Here is a 20,091-nt window from a genome sequence, read left to right on the forward strand (position 1 = left end):
AGAGTGGGAGAGGTAAAAGCAAAAGACAGCTTAGTTGGAGGCTGACTTCGTCCTATGGAAGCAGAGATAGTTCAAGGAAAGGGGTTACTGGGTTTCCAGGGCCCAGTTTGCTGGGACCTCCAAAATCCTTCATTTTGGGTATCATCATACACAGTAGCTAAGCACAGGATGATGGAAATCTTAAAGTTCGCTTTCGTGTTGAATCCACATGTTCTTTTAAAGGTGAATGCATGATCCTTTTCTGGGACAATCAGCCTCTCAGGACTTCTGAAACATCAACGTGAGAAGAAATGGGCATGTAAGGTGTATGGAGGGACTGTGGGAAAGGTGACAGAGGCATGTGGGAAGGCATTCAGGATACGCTTTTGGCAGACATGACTAAGGGAAAACAGAAACTTACAGAAGTGAGGGGAAAGGGGGTGGATTAGTGGAATATAAGATTGTTGGAGAATCCATCCATGGACTCTCTTGTCACTTGATGACCCAGGATATGGACACTCTTGTTGATGTTTACATCTTTAGTTGTTTTAAGCTTTTCTCCAAGATTCTGTGTTAGGTGAGGAGCCAATAACGTATGTAGCTAACAACAGTACGAGTGCATTTTGTGCTCTTGCAAAGTCTAGTGAGGCTCTATTCTCCCTCGTGATTGGCACTGCAGATTGTATCTGGACCCAGGGCCCCTAAATTTTCTGTGGCCTCTTCAGCATAGTTTGCCTAAGGTTTAGAACGTAAAGTGAATATAGTTGCGGAATATGTTTTGCAAGCCTCACACAGGAGGACAAAACATACAGCTTTCATTCGCGAGTGGGAGGCTGCTTCCCAGGAACACGTGTGTCTGCACAAGACAAGGGGTTGCCTCTGTCAAGGATGGGGCAGGAGGATTTCAGTGTCGGAGGCAGAACTTTCTTTCCTGTTCCCAGATGAAACAGTTCCAACACGAGCATCCATGTTGACCACACGCTACTAGAGTGCTAACATTGCTGTCCCGTATAGACTCCAGTCAGCACAGCTTCTGTGAGAAGAGCTATGTTGTTTCAGGGAAGAGGGTTTGACAGTCAAAGTTCCTGAATCTGTTGTGGTGCCTGCAATATGCATTCTACACCTCCTGCTCGGTGTCAAAGCAGTTGAGCTTTGAAAATCTATCGCCCGGTTTTGTCCCTGCTCCTATGCAGACCTCTGAAGCTCTGGAGCGGGAGTCTTGTCCTCCTCTGACTACCGTCCCCCTGACCCACAAACACAGGAGAAACAGGTGTTCTAAGCAAATTATTCTGAAAACAGTCGGAACACTTTGGCCCCCTCAAGCTGCCCTCTATCCTACTGTGTGCATGTCAAAGACACTGTGGTCCAGTACGGTATCCCTATAGCGGCAATGGGGCAACAGATTGGTGTGTGCACTCTGGGCAACTCAGATTAGGAAACGTCTGGGGACTTGCCTATAACGAGGTCGTCTTAAAACGTGTTGCCCCAAATTTAAGGCATAGGAAAATGTTGAGGAAAGGGTCTTGCAATGATTTTTCTAGGAGGTAAATAGATAAGAAAATGACCGTAAATAGATGCCAGGGCTAGTTTTGGAGCTAGCCTTTTTTAAAGTGGTGGTAGGGGAGGAGGTTTTTCCAAGGCAGGTAGCAAACCAGGAGCTGTCTACGATGGATGGGCGTGCCATGGGTTGGTGGCTCAGCCATATTGCCACCCCACGGAGTCGATGCAGCAGACTGGGCTTCTTGCTTGAATCCTACGTGCAATTCAGTCTAGTGATTTCACATGAGATCCCTTCTTCTGGTATTATCACAGATCGTGCTGAATTATACAGGCTGTGTAATGCTTCTTCCACTGAATATCCGTGCACGTGGGCCACAGATGCTAAGGGCACTGACAAATTTGCACCGTGCCTCAGTAACTCGGAAGCACATCTGTGATTTGTACCGACAGGGACTTGGTGTCTTTTCGTGTTTAAAGTAGCACGTGTGTGTTTGTGGTTGCGTATGTTTATTTCTCTGTGCGGGTTTGTATATTTTCTCTGACTCCACCTATGTCTCCGTGGTTCCGATATTTTTCCACACTCCCTGCGGCAATTTGCACATGCCTATCTCTACAACCATTGTAGACTTTGTATCTGTGTCTTTGAACATCTGTCACTCTCTCTCCCTTCCTTTTTTCTTTTCCTTCCTTTACACCCCTCCTTTCATCCTTCCCTTGCTTCCCCACCACACTCTCTCCATCTGTATCGTCTATGTTTCTATTCTCTATCTGGGTTTACTTTCTAATTCTGAATTCAAGGGCATTGAATTGAAAAGAAGCACTCTTCGTACTTTTATGTGTTTTAACTCATTTGGGGAATTTGGCGTGGTATTATTTACAGGGTTCTCTCTGCCCTTTCTCATTGTTCTCCCCAGCCGGGGCTGTTATTATGTGAAAGCTGGTTTCCTTCATCACATCGCGTAGGCTCTAATGATGTTTCGTTTATTTTGATTCTCCTCACACTACATAGTTTTAATTTACCTAATGTGACTGTTTTTTTGTTTGTTTTCCGAGAATGGGTCTTACTCTGTCTTCTAGGTTGGACAGCAGCCCCACGATCTCAGCCCACTGCAGCCCAGGCACCACACACCCATGTGATCCTGTCAACTCAGACTCTCACACACCTGGCAGTACAGGTGCATGCCACCCCTCCAAGCTATGTATTAATTAACTAAATACTTACTTTTTGAATGTGGGTCCATGTTGCCCCAGGCTCATCTGGAACTCCTGAGTGCAGGCAATCCTCCCACCTCAGCTTATCAAAGTGCTGGGATGACAGGTGTGACCCATGGCCCTGCCATGGCTTTGTGTTTTTTGCTTTTTTCTTCCTCCTCCTCACGTCTTGTTTTGAAACATGCACTGAAGGTTTCAATTCATGGACTATAGCCTCTGTGCCTGGAATTTCTATCTTTCAACTCATCATCAGCATTCATTGGGATTTTCATATATATATATATATATATATATATATACATACCTATATAAGAATACCTATGTACACACATATATACGTATATACATGTATATACGTATATATGCACATTTATATACGTATATACATGTATATACGTATATATATACATGTACACATATGTATTTATTTCTCAAGTTACGAAACGGCTTGCATTCTTTCCTGTGTCATGAAAAAGACTTTGCTAGAAAAGAAAAGCACTGCTTTATAATAAAATATTTTATTTGCATTTATTTTGTTAAGGCATTTTAAAAATTGTATGTTTGTTTAAAAAATGTCATATGAAATGATACATATTTACAACTTAAGGCGTGATGTTCAACAGGTCATATACATTATGCATTGGATACATCCAGCCAATCAACATATGTGTGACCTCACATAGTTGTCATTTTTGTTGTGAAAAAACTTGACCTGCACTGTATTCGAATATTTTTAGAGAAAGAATATGTTACCACTAGTTATAGTGAGCATGCTGAAGAAAATATTTTAACCTATTCCTCCTTTATAACTAGAAGTATGAGTTCTTCATCCAGCATCTCGTCAGTGCACCCTCTTCACCGCAGTCATTGGAGTCACTACTTCTGTGAAGTCCGCTTTTTTGATTTCATATAAGAATGAGATCATGTGCTATTTTCCTTTCTGATACCTGGCTTATGTCACTTAACAGAATGGCATGCACACATTCAGCAGATTCCCACACATTCTCACAACTGGCAGGATTTCCTGATTTCTTATTGCAGCGCATATTTCCGTTGCGCATATGCGTTTTTGCCCCATTTTTTAATCCACTTATCAATGGAGGGACACTCAGGTTGCTTCCGCATTTTGGCTACAGCAAAAATGTAATGAGTGCAGCAATAATTGCATGGGTGCGCGCACCGCTTCAACATACTGATCTGTGTACTGGCGGGCGTGCCCGGGTATTCTGATTTGCTGGATCATATAGTGGGTGGTTCTACTTGTAGATTTCTGAAGGCTGTTTATACTTAAATAAGAGCCATAAAGCTTCTTTAATGCCAGCACTAATTTACATTCTCCCCAAAAGTGAGCAGGGAATTCGTTTTCTCTGCCTCCTCACCAGAGATTAGGGTTTTCTTTTCTTTCTTTTTTTTTTTTTGTTTGTTTGTCTTTCGGATAATATGCATTCTGACTGAAGTGAGAAGAAATCTCATTGTGTTTTTGATTTGCATTTTCGTGATGGATTGGGGATAATGAGGAATTTTTAGTGTGTCTTCTGGGCAACTGTATGTCTCAGTTTCACAAATGAGTCTTCGCAGCCTTCGCCCATTTGTTTTCATGCTATTGAGTTGTTGGGAGTTCCTTATGTACTGTGACTATTCCCCCATGAACAGATGTATGGTGATCCAATCATTGCTCCCATCCTGTAGGATGCCCCTTCTGTATGTTGAGTTTTCTATGGTGTGGTGAAGCACTTTAGTTTGATATGATTCCATTCTCTATTTTTGATGGTGTTTACTGTGTTCTTGCAGTCACTTTGAGACCATCATTGCACACACGGACGCCATGGAGCTTCTTCCTTGTGATCTCTTCTGCTATTTTTATCGTTTCACATCTGACACTGGAGTTTGGTGATAAATAATCCACTTGTAAAATCCTTTGTGTGGCTATTCAGATTTCCCCAACCTAGTTTATAGAAGATACTTGATTTTGCATTGGGCGTTCTTGCTTCTTTGGGAAAAGGCTGTGAGCTGCAAATGCAGTGACTTAGTTCTGGGCTCCTGTTGTTTTTCCTAAGCTCTAGTCTCTGCTTTTCTGCCAGTGCTATTGTATTTTGGTACAAAAAGTTTTGTAGTAGTATATCATGAAGTTAGGTAGTGTGGTGGCTCCAGCTTTGTGCTTTTTACTGGATTGCTCTGGGTTTTCAGGATCTTCTGCCATTTCATAGCAAATTTGGGATTCCCAGATTGTTTTTCTAAGAAGAATGTGTCATTGATATTTTTACAGGGGTTGTATAGAATCTGAGGATGACTCAGGTAGTAGTGATGTCAATGCCGTTTAGACAATGTGCGTGTTTGTGTGCACAAGCTCAGGGCCAAGAGACACTGGGTGTCCTCACCAATACTGAGGTGGGCCTTAATATCCAGCCAGATTGCCTTCTGGAAACACACGGAATGTCCTGTTCTGTTTTGCCATCTCTTCACATTTCCTCCCCTGTGAGCCCTGTGTGGTCCTCCAGATTCCCTGTGCGGTGGCCTGCCTTTTTTGGGGTGGGGAGTTGCTGGGTGAATGAGGATGGCGGAGGGAACCAAGCATGTCAGTGGAGCGTGGTGTCATCCAAACGGTACTTAGCAGGCCTGGGAGAGTCATTCTGGGAGGACGCAGACCTAGAGAGGCCTCAGGTGGGCATCTGTGTGGAGGGTGAGAGATCCCTGGTTGAGCCCAAACTGAACCCCAGGTAGAAGCAAGCCTCAGGACAGGGAAGTAGCTAGCAAGGGATGATGAGGCAGCTATCTCTTGACCCTGGCTTCCCACCCATTGACCTTAGCTACTTATGCCTATTAAGCAGATTACGGTTCCCCCATCGTGAAATGTGGGTACCACCGTTCCCTAATGGGCATTTCTCCACCAGCCCATGATGGCCTGAGTTTCCTTACTGCAGTCTCCTCCCTGAGCCTTGGCTTCTCTATGTGTGTCCTAACTCCAGGACCCACAGGCCTGTCAACCCCCAGCCCTGGGCTGCTTCCCTGGCCTCTTCTCTGTTCCCTCTCTGAGGGCCTAACTCCCTTGGGTAGTGCTGCAGAATATAGAGCCACAGGCCCTGGCTGATGATCTGGTGGACTGGGCAAATTGGTCGTGACAGGTCAGGTTCTGGTTCAAAGCCAATTCCTCCGATGCCAAGGAATGTCGAAGAAGGTCCTTTGCCATGATGCCCCATAGCTGCCCCACCTCAGCAATCGTGCCGTAACCTGGGCCCTCACAGTCAGACAACCAGCTGAAGAAGCTCAGGCAGTGACCTGCGGGAAACTCGGGCTTTCACCTGCATGACCCTAGAACCACTGGACTGCAGTGGAGCCAGTCACCCTGTATCCTGGAGGGAGACGAGTCAGGAAGGCGCACGCCAGGCCCAGCTCCCGAGGTACTACCCCCTCTACTCCTCAGGGAGGATGCCAATGCAATACTCCTTAGTCATCACTTTGTTTCCGAAGTAAATGTTGTGATGAAAGGCAAACTTCTTCCTACCCCTTGTATTCAGGGTGGCCGAGTTCCTCCACCTGCCTGTCCAAGAAGGAGAAACAGGGCTGTGAAGGGGCAATTTCATCTAGGTGGGCTGAGGTGGCATTCTAGCCGGGGTGAAGCATGCGTTTCCCCTTCCCAGCTTTCCCGCTGAGACACACCTGAGCCCCAGAAGGACCTCAACCTGACCAGGACCTTAGCGCCCTCCCCCAGACCCAGGCTTTCCATCCTGACCTGCAAATCCAACATGCAGCTTTGAAGGACTTTCTCATGGTTTCTGAGCTCCTTGCTCTCACCAGAAAGAATCAGAACTTTTAAAGTGTTCTTTATGCCAACTTAAATTTTTTCATTTTTACTACCTCATGTTTTGGATGAGGCATGTATTTTTAAATTTATTTTCACCCTTATTGTACCTCTATGATAAACTGCTTGCTTACATTCATACCGTAATTATCTCTCAGGTTACTTGTCTGTTCCTAAAGATTCACTGAAACGAAGAATTCTATATATGCTTGTATCTTTCAGCAACCGTATGTCAGATAGCACTGCACATTACTGCAGACATCGCATATACAGGTCCAAAGGTAGAGGAAGAAGAAGAAAGCAAGCGTTAAACTCTATTCATTCCTAAAAGCATATCAGAAACTCACAAATAACAGTGAAATCAAAGAATGATCACAGCCAATTCCATTACATACCTAGACTGAAATACGAAACTTCAAAGAAAAGAAACATTAGAACTTTGGGTTTGTAAAAATTTTCCTATATAGATAAAATTATTGGTAACTGTGTCTCACTAGAAAACGTAAACAAAAATCCATGTTTTTCATATTTGTAAATATACATAGTTTTATTTCCATCAGTTATGACATGCAAGCAAGTAATAAAGTGAAAGTACAATCAAATGATATATGGAACTTCCTCAGTCTTAAAATATTCCATGGAGACTATCAATTTTATGAAAACTATAAAGAATGCTTCATGAAACTACATTGTACAGTGCCATTTACTATTTTACTGACATTTTAAATAATCAACAATTAAAGGGAATACGTCAACATTATTTAATACCAATAACGTTATTTTTCTTGAGTAATCCTGTTGAAATTAAGGATTTTAAATAAAACATTAAAAACAAATTATATTGACTGATTTCAGCTTTGGATGAAATCATACTTGTGTATTTGTAGTAATGCGAAGCATAACTTTCTCCTCACAATTAATCTTTTATAACATCGGTGTTATAGTTTTCTCTGACACCAACATTGTGATATCGCACAGGTTTACTGCATGCATGCATTACATGCCTCCAGAGAGTAGGCTTCAAATATATGGAAAAATTATATTTATGAAAAAATTCTAGGAAAGGGAATGGTGAAATGGAAGAGAATTTCTCACTTGCTAACTGTTGGACATGGATTTGTATATATTTGGATATAGACACATACTGGCACACTGTGAGTTTGCCCATGTATATATACACTTATATGAGAAACCCATAATATATGGGTTGTGTAATCTTTTAATTAATCCATAATTGTATGTGTGTGAAATTAGATAAGCGGTTACCTTTTCTTTACTCAATTTGATGGAAAGCCAAAAAACTCTGTCCACCTTCATTTCAATTAATCCAATACTGTTAACTGCTGGTAGCTTCATTCTCCTTGTTCTCTTACGGCAACCGGAAAGTTAATTCTCGCTCTAATTTGGCTTTCAAGGTGCGATCAACAAGAGTGTCACCTTGCTGTGGATTGTGACCTCTGACTCCACCTCTGTCTTCCTTTTGCAGTCCTACCTTTGCATAGGTAACAAACTTTGTACATGGTTAAAAGGATAAACGTTCAGTGAAATGTCAAGCCATGCTGTGAAATGTTCCATAGTTTCTATATCTCTAATTGTCCTTTGATGTTATAGAGGCAAGAAAAATAATTCAATGTTTTTCTTAGTATCTAGTCCAATGCACGCTTTCTTCATAATACTGCAAACAAGGCACTGACATGGAAACGTGGCTGGACGTCTCAAAATCTCTTCTCATTAATTACCATTATGTTAATCACTGTTGCCCACAACTGGAATTGGACTTTGAAATCCCCTGGTGGAAATTGCTATAATGGCTCAAACTACTGGAAAGACTATCTTTTTTTTACCTGAAAATATCTGATGAGCATAGACGTATGCTATATACAGGAACATATTGTACATTAACAACATACCATCACTGCCACTCAATAATAGGTATCCCAAACCTTTGAGCCAAACTGAGCTCGGGTGCTCCCACAAACCAAGCTTTTCCCTCCACAGATTTCTTATGTCAAAAAGCCACAACTCCAGGCCAGGCTTCGTGGCTCTTGTTGTAATTTCTACATTTTGGGAGGCCGAGGTTGGTGGGTCACTTGAGGTCAGGAGTTGGAGACCAGCATGGGCAACATGGCAAAAAGCTGTCTCTACCAAAAATACAAAAATTAGCCAGACCTAGTGGCACTTTCCTGTGGTCCCAGCTACTTGGGAGGCTGAGGCAGGAGAACCACCTGAACATGGGTGGCAGAGATTGTATAGTAAGCCAAGATCAGACTACTGCACTCCAGCCTGGATGACACAGCGAGACCATGACTGAAAAAAGAAAAAAAAAAAAATAAAGGCAACTCCACTCGTCCACTGGCTTAGGTAAAAAGTACTGGAGTTGGCTGGGCTCGGTGGCTCACACCTGTATTCCCAGCACTTTGGATTTTGGGAAGCTGAGTCGGGCGGGTCACCTGAGATCTGTAGTAGGAGAGCAGCCTGGCCAACATGGTGAAGCCTGGCTTCTACTAAAAATACAAAACATTAGCTGAGCGTGGTGATGCATGCTTGTAATCCCAGCTACTGCAGAGGCTGAACCTGGGAGGCGGAGGATGTGTTGAGCTGAGATCCTGCCACTGCGCTCCAGCCTGGTCTACAGAGCGAGAGTACCCTGTGAGAAACAAAGGTGAAGAGAACAAGAAAAAAAAAATGAGAAAAATAAGACCCACTGCAAAAGGTTGCCACAGAAAAGATTAAACATTTCAGCAACTTCTATCTTCTGTCATGGAAGCCAAGGTTATTTGGACCAAACCTCCTGTCTTAGTTCATTTTCACGCTGCTGAAGAAGAGATACCTGAAACTGGGAATAAAAGGAGGTTTAATTGGACTGACAGTTCCACATGGCTGTGGAGGCCTCAGAATCATGGTATACGAATAAAGGCACTTCTTACATGGCAATGCCAAGAGAGAATGAGGAAGAACCTGAGGCAGAAACCCCTGAAAAACCCATCAGATCCCGTGAGACTTCTTCACTGTCACAAGAATAGCATGAGAAAGACCGACCCCCATGATTCAATTACCTCCCCCTGGGTCCCACCCGCAACACGAGGGAATTCTGGGAGATACAATTGAAGCTGAGATTTGAATGGAGACACACCAAACCATGTCACTTCCCAAACAATTAAAAATTCCCAATAGAAGAAGCATTAATTATATCAAAAAGTGGTGGACCAAGAAGGAACTATTAGCCTCATATCTCAAGAAAGACTCCAGTCAAGGCCTAGGGACTACTCATGAAAAGAGTTTAATAGCCGACTCTCTCCCAGTGGATCTGGATTCCACCGGACTGTATCTTCACAGTAAGGGTGAAACAGAAGCAAACCCATTCCTATTTCCAAGCTCAAGGAACTTTGGTCAAAGTTCTCTTGGAGCTGAGCAGAACAAGGAGGCAAACAGAAAAGATTTGTGTCCCTGAGAAGTCATGGCCACAGGCTGGCTATCACACAGATTGTCAAGCCAGTTCCATATTGCATGGGTATTACAGAAAATCTCAAAACATAAATTTGTGTGTGGGTTGTCCCAGAGTAGCAGGATCTGGCAGAAGGAAATTTCCTTCTAACCCTCAAAGAATCCACATAAATCTTGTTACATTTGGGATTTTACGATTTGCTTCAGGAATGAGAATGGCCTTAATTTTCATATCTTTTTCTACACTCAGTTTATGGCTTGTTGGCGTCAAAGTTCTGCTTGCTTCACACAATGAGTTTAGGATTTTCCCTTTTTTATTCTATAGAATTCTTCATATATATTGAAATGCTCTGCCTGGGGAAAAAAATCTGAGCCTAGCGTTTTATCTCTAGGAAGAATCCTTTATTTCCTTGAACATTTATGAGACTATACAGATTATATATGTCTTCTTGTATCAATTTTACTAAGCTATATACATAGCTTATGTTTATATATTATATATATAAATGTAAGATACAAATATAAAAATTATGTATAAATATGAAAATATATATAGAAAGCGATATATATGTCTATATATATAGACAGATTATAAATATCTGTCTATTTGATCTAAGTTTTCAAATTTGTAGGTTAAGGTGTTAACGATATTTCCTTATTAGCTTCTTAATCTATGCTGTATCTATGGTTGTGTACCTTTTAAATTCTTAGTTTTATCTATGTTTTCTCCCTTTTTTTCTAAACTTGACTGACGGTTGCATCATTTATTATATTTCTCCAACAAGCAAAGGTTAGCTTTGTATGTTTTACTAATTTTGTCTACATCATTATTCCCACACTTTAGTTTTTCAGAATTGATTCTGTTGTTTCTTTTCTAATTCTTTATTGAAATATCTAGTACATTAATTTTCAAGTTATTAGAGAAATATTTGTCTGTAAACTCCTATTGTAATATCACTTTTCTTGCTACTCACAGATTTAATCTTTAATATTGGCGGTATCATTGAGTTCTAAGTACATTTCAATTCCTAGTATGATAATCTATGAATTGCTGAGAAATAGTGTTTACAATTTTGTTGTTCTATTTCCACTTAAGTTTATTTTTACTTCTGCTAACTCAATTGAAAATTCTTTACTAATTTTTAAAATCCTTGAACCCAAGAGATGGAGGTTGCAGTGAGCTGAGATCAGGCCACTGCATTCCAGACTGAGTGACAGAGTGGAACGAGATTTCAAAACAAAACAAAACAAAACAAAACAAAACAGTCACTGGAAAGATAATAAAATACATAAATGTGGGATGTAATATGTAATCGTGATAAAATAAACTGGATTTTTTGTATAAGTTATACATATAAATGTAATGCCAAGACACTGATAAGACAACTCATGGTCTTATCTCAATACTTAGTGTCTTCATGTAACATATGTCCTTTAGGATAGTTATAGTCCGTTTTCTTTCCAGGAGAGACAGATGAGAATGCAGAAATGTTAAAGTGCAAGGGACGGAAGCTTCCAGCTGTGCCCACCTGTAACCTGACGTAGACAGTTCCACCGTTTGCTTCATTAATCATGCCAAAGGCTCTAATGCAAATGTGGTACAGAGTCACATGTTTTTGTATCTACATGATAGAAACTATAACTTCATCCCTATATAGAAGGGTATATAGCATATGCCTCAGTGATAAATATAAGTGAATCATTGATCAGTAGGAAACCATTTTAAAAGTCTTTCATAACAGAACAAAATCCCTGAGAACATTTTCTTCTCAATCTCTGAGTTTTCTTACACGGCTTATGAATCTCTAGCCATACTAAAGAGATAGTATGCTGCTCTTCCCACAAATTATTCATTGTATATAATTCCTGTAATCTAATAACAGTACCTTTACACCTCAGGGTTTAAAATGACTCCAACCTTTTTCTGTTTCTCCAATTAAAATAACTTTTTTAAGGTTTAATCTTCAGTAATTTTTTGTAGTAATATTTTTGAAGGTATTTGACCAGGATGATTTGCTTATATACCTACCTGACGTCTCCCTTTCTTCTGAATACATATTTTATTACCCACCTATTAGATCTAAGTTTAAGAAGTTGGAATAGGGATTTAAATCTAAATTCTACATTTGAATTTACAGGAGTCAGCGAGTCCAGGAAGTGCCTTTATGCACAGACCAATATCTGGCAATGGCACTAGGGGACAAATAAGCTTTACCAGTCTCAAAGCCCTGGCTACTACAGTGAATCCACCCTTCTCCTGGATCTTATCTACTTCAGCAAAAGAAGGCCACCCACTAAACCAGGCCCTTGTACTTTGGGTGGAAACTCCTAAGTCCTCTAGTCTCCTCAAACAGACAGCCAGGCTGCCAATTTCCACAATAATAATTTCTATAGCACTGAGTCTTTGGTAGCCTTGTAACTATAGCTACTGATGCTACAGTCTGGTCCCTGTATGATAAAACACCAGAGCAACAGAAACAAAAATATTGACTGAAGCCTTCTAAAATCTCTCTAAATATACCTTCAATAAATATGGTTTTTTTTACAGAACGACTGCTTTCAGCTTCCTGAACTAACGCTTGGCCTTCGCTAGTTGTCACTGTTGAAATTGATTCAAAAGTGTACATTTAACATGAAAGTCAACACAGAATTTCATGTGTCAGCAACTAAAATTTTCAAAATGTTGCAAAATACAAATGTGAAACTGTATTTGTGAAATTTACCATTCATTGAAATTATATTTTCATACCTACCCAGGCACAGAATTTTTTATAACTGTCTGCATGTTCTCCTCATGTGGGGGAAAAGCAGCATCAGCAGGCAGAGGAATCCTTTGAAGCTGGAGGGAGAGGTTGCAGTGATCTGAGAGTTTGCCACTTGACTGCAGCCTGGATGACACAGTGAGACTCCAACTGAAAAGAAACAAACACACACACACACACACACACACACACACACACACCCCCAAAATTGATAAGTAAAAAAAAAATCCATATTCGAAAACATGCTCACAGGCTAACTCCCATATCTAACACACACACACACACACACACACACACACACACACACACAATTCCTTGAAAACGAAAGTTCCACAAGGGCAAAACAAGAAAACAAATTTAACACCCCCCAAAGAAAGTACAAAGAGTAACCTCAAAAGAACCGCAGGGGAAAACAATTCAAAATTTACAAGTATCTACCCTAAAAGAAGCTGAAAGTCCCTCAAAAACTTTCCAGAGGCCATGTCCTTGTATTACAAAAATGATCATAAAAACTGGCAGGAGTAGACGAATAGAAATGCATCTTAAAACTTGCTAAACCCTTCAAGTCTCCCATAAGAATTGTAATGGAAAATGGATCGGTCGGCAGCTTTTTCCATACAATTATGAACAAATTATATTTCTTCATACATAGATTTGTTTTTTCAATATTCTAAGGAATTAACTTTTATATTAATAGTAGGTGATGTAAGAAAGCAGGCCTTTATCAAGATAACTGACACTGGATGTCCATACCATTACTCAGGTGGGCCTTAATTCCCAGCCGGGTTCCCTCCCTGGACACACACTGAAGGTCCCCAGCCATTTGGCAATCTCTTCACATTCCCAGCCCTGGAGGTAGCCCTAAAATACATGTACCTGAAGAAAATAAAACATTGCCTCACACTGGAGCCCAGTGTGGTCCTCCAGATTCCGTGTGAGGTGGACTAACTTATATGGGAAGGCAGGGCAGCGGGAGTGAGGATGGCAGAGAGGATTACACATGTCAAGGCAGCCGGGGTCATGGAAACAAAACATGACTGGCCTGGGAGAAACACTGTGAAAGGACACAGACCTAGGTGGGCCTCAGGTGGACATCCTCATGGAGAAAAAGGGGGCCCTGGTTGATCTCAAAATGAGCCCCAGGTGGTAGCAGGTCTTACCGCAGGGCAGGGAGCTGGCGAGTAATGATGAGACAGCTATCCCTTAAGCCCTGCTTGTCACCCACTGACTTTAGCCACATATGCATCATAGTGGCTTAAGGTGCCCCGATCCTGAAATGTGGGTGTTACATGTCCCTGATGGGCCTCTCTCCCCCAACCCACGGATTGCCTGGGATTGCTCACTGCAGTCTCCTCCCGGATCCTTGGGTTCTCCATGTGGGGCCCAGATCCAGGTCAAAAGGCCTCTCAGTTCCCAGCCCTTCCCAGCCCTAGGCTGCTCGCCTGGCCTCCTCTCTGTTCCGCCTCTAGGGCTGACCCTCTCTCCATGGGATAGAACTGCAATGGATTGAGCCATAGGCCCTGGCTGATGATCTAGGGGACTGCAGAAGTGGGTCCAGGACAGTTCAGGTGACAGTTCAAAGCCAATTCCCCAGAGACCAAGGAATGACCAGCTAGGTCCTTTCCCATGATGCCCCACGGCGAACCCCACCTCAGCAATCCTGCCAAAACCCGGGCAGTCATGTTCAGCCAAACAGCTGAATGAGCTCAGGTAGGAGGTGTACTGCCTGCAGCTGGAGGCTTGACCTTCGTGATCCCAGAACCGCTGGACTGCAGTGGAATGAGACACCCTGTAGCCTGCAGGGAGAGGAGTCAGGAAGGTTCATGCCAGTCCCACCCTCCCACACACCAGCTCCCCTACCATGCTGGGAGGCATTCCTTACCGAGGATGCCAACACAGTGCTCCTTCATGATGATTTCACTGTGGAAATAAAGGTTGGGATGAAAGGAAATCATCCTGCCACCGGTAACCGGGATGGCTGAGTTCCTCCACCTGCCGGATCAAGGAGAAAGAGGATGGATTCAATGGGACCATCTCAACTAGCTGGGCTGAGGTGGCCTACTAGCTGTAGTGAACCATGAGTTTCCCCTTCCCAGCTCTCCCACTGAGACAACCCTGGTCCCCAGGGGGACCTCAAACTGACTCAGACACTGGACTCCTCCCACAGACCCAGGCTCCCCAGCCTGACCTGCAAATCCATCACGTAGCAAAGCAGGACTTCCGCATGCTTTCCGACCCACGCCGACATCTCGGGTGTGCCAAACAATCTACCTCTGCGCAAGAACTCTCCAGAGGATTGGGTGGGCAAGCCTCGTGACGCCTTGCAATTTCGCAAGAACACAGACAATGTGGAACAGGGCCATCTCCCAGACATTTGGCCAGTCACCCTTCATTGTTGGCCCTCTATCTCTGTCTGGCGAGGAGGCAACGCCACAACTGTGGTGGTTTTTGGAGTGGGTGGACCCCGGCCAAGACGGCCTGGGCTGACCAGAGACGGGAGGCAGAAAAAGTGGGCAGGTGGTTGCAGCTGAGGGACGGGAGGGGCCGGGGGTGGTGTGAGGCGGCTGCTTCTCTGGGTTTCTGAGATGCAGGAGGCCTTTGTGTGCTGGGTGCTGGACATGCTCCGCTGATGTCCGGGTGTGTGGTGTCCTCTTATCCTAGTCTCCCTGAGGGGTGGGCCTGTCCACCTGAGGGAAGCCTTGTAGTTAGAAGCCACAGCAGGGTCGTGCCTGGCGCTCTCCAAGGGAATTGCGTGGGTCCAGAGGAAGTTATACAGGCTCAGGGCCTACACGCCTTTGAGTGCAGCGCCTGCAGTTGGATGAATGCGCATCTGCGGAGCTGGTGCCCGCCGTCAGGTGGTCGGCAGCCCCATGCGCCGCGAACCCGTCTTAAGCACCTTGTGTTTCTGGGGTGAGCCTGCTGGAAACAGGCACCGAGAGCAGGGGTGGTTCAATGGCTGGTAATGGCATACAGATTCCCCGTCCTCCAGGGACGTTCCCAGGGAAACGCGTCCTTCGAATTTGGGCTGTGCGCAAAGGGACCTTGGCGCCGCGATTCTCCCTTGTCAGTGCTGGCCCTGGCTCCCCTTCCCTACCACGTGCTCCCAGGGCTGCTACAAGCGAGCTGCCCTCACAGCTGCGGGAACGTGGCCTCGGCTCCCACGCTGTCCCCCATCCCCTGCCTCCTGGCTGACCCCACGTGCCTCCCACCTGGCTCCTCCCCGCAAACAGCCCCCATACCCCCCGAGGCCCGATGACTATCCCCTGCTGCCCGCCATCCCAAATCGGCAGCCGCAAGGATATGGCTCTGGCTCACAAGGCGGAGATGCTCTGTGGCCTGGGGCATTCACGGAGCCCAGCTCCAAGTGAAGGACCTCCAGCGAGTCCATTGACGGCCCCGGTGTGCTCGGTCCAGGGCCAGGCTGTGCCCGCTGGCCCTCCTTCTGCCACCCCACGTCGGGCTCCACCTCAACCACCACCTCCACCTCAGCCATGATGTCTTCCACCTTCAGCACCGCCTCCTCTTCCAAGGCCGCCTCCTTGCTCTGTACCCCGGCCGTCCTCTCCAGCATTGCCTCCAGCCTGAACACGGTTTTCTCCTGGGTGCTCCCACAGACCCTGGGCCTGCGCAGCCCAGCCCAGCCCAGCCCATGCCCCGCACCCGTAGGCTCTGGGGGCCCGCTCCCCAGCAGACCCGCTCCCTGCAAGACCCACGGGCGTCGCCCTGCTGAGAAACTGGTCCCACACCTACGTGGACCCAGGTTTCCTGAGGAGCTCCGCTGGACCCGCAGATCCCGCACTGGCCAAAGGGCTCCGGTCCCCAGCAGGCTCAACTGCGCACAGGAGCTCGGGAGCCAGAGGCCCCGGCCCTGGGCTTGCAGAGCCCCACCAACAGGCACCGCAACCGCTGCTGCGGGTGCGGGAGCCTCTGGGTCGTCAAGGCAGCGCACAACAGCGTGCGCGCAGGCCGACAATGGCCAACCCTGGCGGCTGGCCTCTGGTGTGCCCAGGGCATAGGACAAGAGGCCCTTTGGAATGCTCCTTGGAGTACAGCATCCTCAGGGAGGAAGCATGGTACTCGGAGCCTCTATTTGCCTCGACCTGTGAGAGTGTGTGCCGGGGCTCTGGCCTCTACAGCAGATCAATTCCACCTCAGCACCGGCAGGCGACTTTCCTCCCACGTGCCCGCCCCGATCACTTCCCCCAGGACACCCCTGCCGCCCTAGCCCCAGCAACCAGAGAGAGTTCTCTGCATCTGCTGTATTACCTCCGTACCATCTACCTGGCCTGCCTAACGAAGAGAGATGTTTCCTGTGTTCATGACACATAGAGATGTTCATGGCTTGCCACACTGAGGATGTCAGGGCACAGGGCTGCCATGCCCACAATTCCAAAGGCCACGCAGCCCGCGTGTGCCCGGATGCCTAGCTACCCGGCACAAGCTCCAAGGGCTTCTCGGAGGAGGCTTGGGCAGGGAAGGCGGGGGGTGGGGGGGCTGGAGATGCAGGCCCGCCAGTGGCTGTGCCGCCCAGGGAGACGCCCACCGCCCTCCCATTGACTGGCCACGACGGGAGGAAGTCGGCCTGGGTGCGGCCCCCCGGCCCTTCGCGCGCAGTCCCTTAGGGGGCGCCTGGAAGCCCGGCGCATGCGCCCTGAGGGCTCGCTGACCTACTGGGTGCCAGAGAGGCTGCGGCAGGGTTTCTGTGGCGTGGGTCGGGCAGCACAGGCCTTGGTGTGTGCGAGTGCCAAGGAGGGCACCGCCTTCAGGATGGAGGCTGTACAGGAGGGGGCGGCCGGGGTGGAGAGTGAGCAGGCGGCTTTGGGGGAGGAGGCGGTGCTGCTGTTGGATGACATAATGGCGGAGGTGGAGGTGGTGGCGGAGGAGGAGGGCCTCGTGGAGCGGCGGGAGGAGGCCCAGCGGGCACAGCAGGCTGTGCCTGGCCCTGGGCCCATGACCCCAGAGTCTGCACTGGAGGAGCTGCTGGCCGTTCAGGTGGAGCTGGAGCCGGTTAATGCCCAAGCCAGGAAGGCCTTTTCTCGGCAGCGGGAAAAGATGGAGCGGAGGCGCAAGCCCCACCTAGACCGCAGAGGCGCCGTCATCCAGAGCGTCCCTGGCTTCTGGGCCAATGTTGTATCCTTCTCAGTGTTTCTTCGGCCTTTCTAGTGGAGAGGTGCTCTCGGGGAAGTGTAAGTGACCGATGGGCAGCTCGGCGTCGATGTGACTCTTTGGGGAACAAAGGGGAGTTGCCACGGACCAATGTGGCTGTGGAAAGCCGGAGCAGGCGTGGGTACTATTGTCCTGCATGCGGCAGAGAAACCCTTGGTGATGCCGAGCAGCAGACGTTTGGGGCATCTTTTTGAAGAGCAGAAGCGAGTTCAGAGCGGAAGAGGTTTTTCAGTGAATGAAGCTATTTTTAAGGGAGTGTGATTGCTGCCCCTTGCTAGTCCGATCTGGGACTGGGCGTCTTCGGCTATAAGCAGATTCTGCCACTCCTCAGACACCAGCAAGTCTCTGCAAATCGCGCCTCCCCATGTCAGTGCAGTCAGCCTCAGAATCATACACCCTCTGTGAACACAGGAGGCCTTAGTTTACGGGGACGGGGAGGCGAAAGGAGATCATACATGGAAGCAGATCTGAGAAATCCCCTACCCCAGCCTCTGGGTGCTCTTAGGCCTTCTTCCCTGTTGCTCCTCGCTTTCCCTTCCATCGTGTGTAAAGTCTCTTTGACCTAAATCAGATTGCAAACCACCCCCAGATGTCAGCCCTGATCACTGACGAAGATGAAGACATGCTGAGCTACATGGTCAGCCTGGAGGTGAGGCCAGGAAGACTGGGGCTGGAGGGTTTAGCGGGGGAGGGTAAGGGAAATAATTCATTCCTGTAAGCAAGAGTGAGCACCTCACCCGAAAACCTATCTAAGCTTTCTCCACCTTGTCCTGACAGGTGGAAGAAGAGAAGCATCCTGTTCATCTCTGCAAGATCATGTTGTTCTTTCGGAGTAACCCCTACTTCCAGAATAAAGTGATTACCAAGGAATATCTGGTGAACATCACAGGTGACAGGTGGCTCCCAGGATGGGTAGTGGAAGGAAGATGGTGGGTGGATCATTGCCAACGGGATCCAGCCCCCTTCCCACAAAAACTCCTGTCTCTGTAGAATACAGGGCTTCTCATTCCACTCCAATTGAGTGGTATCTGGATTATGAAGTGGAGGCCTATCGCCGCAGACACCACAACAGCAGCCTTAACTTCTTCAACTGGTTCTCTGACCACAACTTCGCAGGATCTAACAAGATTGCTGAGGTGAGTCCTCACTGGGAAACATGAGGAATGACCCCGTGTGTTCCCAGCTGCTTGGGTCACCTTTCTGAGCCCTGATGAGGCCTTTCCCGATTGAGTCCCCTGACAGATCCTATGTAAGGACCTGTGGCGCAATCCCCTGCAATACTACAAGAGGATGAAGCCACCTGAAGAGGGAACAGAGACGTCAGGTGAGCCGTTAGTTGGCACTGGAGCTGTTTGATGCCCAGTATAAGGGGGTTGACACACCTGCCTATTCAGGGAGCCTGGGTGCTCATTTCAGAAATGTAGAAATTGAGGCTCCTTTCGTACATGTAGAAATTCCTTGAGAGGAAGACAGAGAGTGACAGAATCCAGGACGTTCATGGCATTGGGCTGAAAAGGCACGTTAGAGACTGCACTGCAAAGCGGGTGATAGCTGTGGAGTCTTAAGCCCAGTGAAGAATCGTCCATTTCCAGAATCAATGAGAAGTAAAGCTGAAAATCATTCAGTTCAGTCTGTGGCACTTGATTCCACGGCTGTCAACCCCACCGGCAGTCATCCCGCCAACCCCATGAGATTGGGCTCCCTGAATGTGCGTCCTGGTCATCCTTGCCCCAAACCACAAAGGACTGTTTAGATTGATGGATTTCCTTAAGCTGTTGCCCCATCAGACTTGTGTGTGCTTTTAGGGCCCAGTGCATCTTGTTAGCTGACTCCCCTCACAGACAATACTGGGAATGGGGCAGGGATTGCGCAGAACAGTTTGTAACACGTGGTAGGAGGAAGTTTAAGGGATCACAAATGGGGAAGGGATATCCTTTTCTCAGCGGGCCCCACAATTGAAACATTTCAAAGTATGGCTCAGAGAAAATGCGTTTTAACATGAGTTTGTGTTTCTCTAGGGGACTCCCAGTTGTTGAGTTGAATATGATGGAGCATCAGATTTTACCTAATACAGCAGAACTCCTAAAAAGTTACAGCCATATGCAGGACGGCAGTACTCAGCATGGTCTTATGCACAGGAACTAAAGGAAAAAGAGATCGAGTCACAAAAATTCAGGAAGAGGGGGTAAATGTGGATTGTATGGAATGAAAAATAAACATTCTCAAGGA

At 46.4% G+C, this 20,091-nt stretch overlaps 1 protein-coding gene and 1 long non-coding RNA gene across 5 annotated transcripts; one reads left to right on the top strand and one right to left on the bottom strand.

Annotated features, from left to right (window-relative positions):
* Nucleotides 1-9,077: 9,077 nt before the first annotated feature.
* FAM197Y8 (family with sequence similarity 197 Y-linked member 8) lies at nt 9,078-14,680 on the bottom strand. The gene is made up of 4 exons (NR_145468.1): nt 14,579-14,680; nt 14,347-14,492; nt 12,688-12,846; nt 9,078-9,137 (listed from the first exon to the last, which is right to left on the bottom strand). It is a non-coding gene; the product is annotated as a family with sequence similarity 197 Y-linked member 8 (long non-coding RNA).
* Nucleotides 14,681-17,294: 2,614 nt separating this feature from the next.
* On the top strand, nt 17,295-20,091 carry TSPY8 (testis specific protein Y-linked 8). 4 transcript variants are annotated; one of them, XR_949064.3, is made up of 6 exons: nt 17,295-17,826; nt 18,434-18,511; nt 18,640-18,751; nt 18,860-18,998; nt 19,094-19,186; nt 19,881-20,091. XR_949064.3 is itself a non-coding variant. In XM_005272744.5 (6 exons), exons 1-5 carry the CDS (start codon nt 17,341-17,343, stop codon nt 19,154-19,156), a joined length of 885 nt encoding a protein of 294 aa, XP_005272801.1. In that variant the 5' UTR covers nt 17,295-17,340; the 3' UTR covers nt 19,157-19,186; nt 19,881-20,091. The 4 variants fall into 4 exon arrangements, 3 of the variants coding, with proteins under 3 accessions (XP_005272801.1, NP_001230650.1, XP_011542307.1); XM_005272744.5 differs by having other exon boundaries at nt 18,853-18,998; NM_001243721.2 differs by having other exon boundaries at nt 18,853-18,998; nt 19,105-19,186.

This window comes from Homo sapiens, chromosome Y (assembly GCF_000001405.40).
Source record: "Homo sapiens chromosome Y, GRCh38.p14 Primary Assembly".
Taxonomy (NCBI): domain Eukaryota; kingdom Metazoa; phylum Chordata; class Mammalia; order Primates; family Hominidae; genus Homo; species Homo sapiens.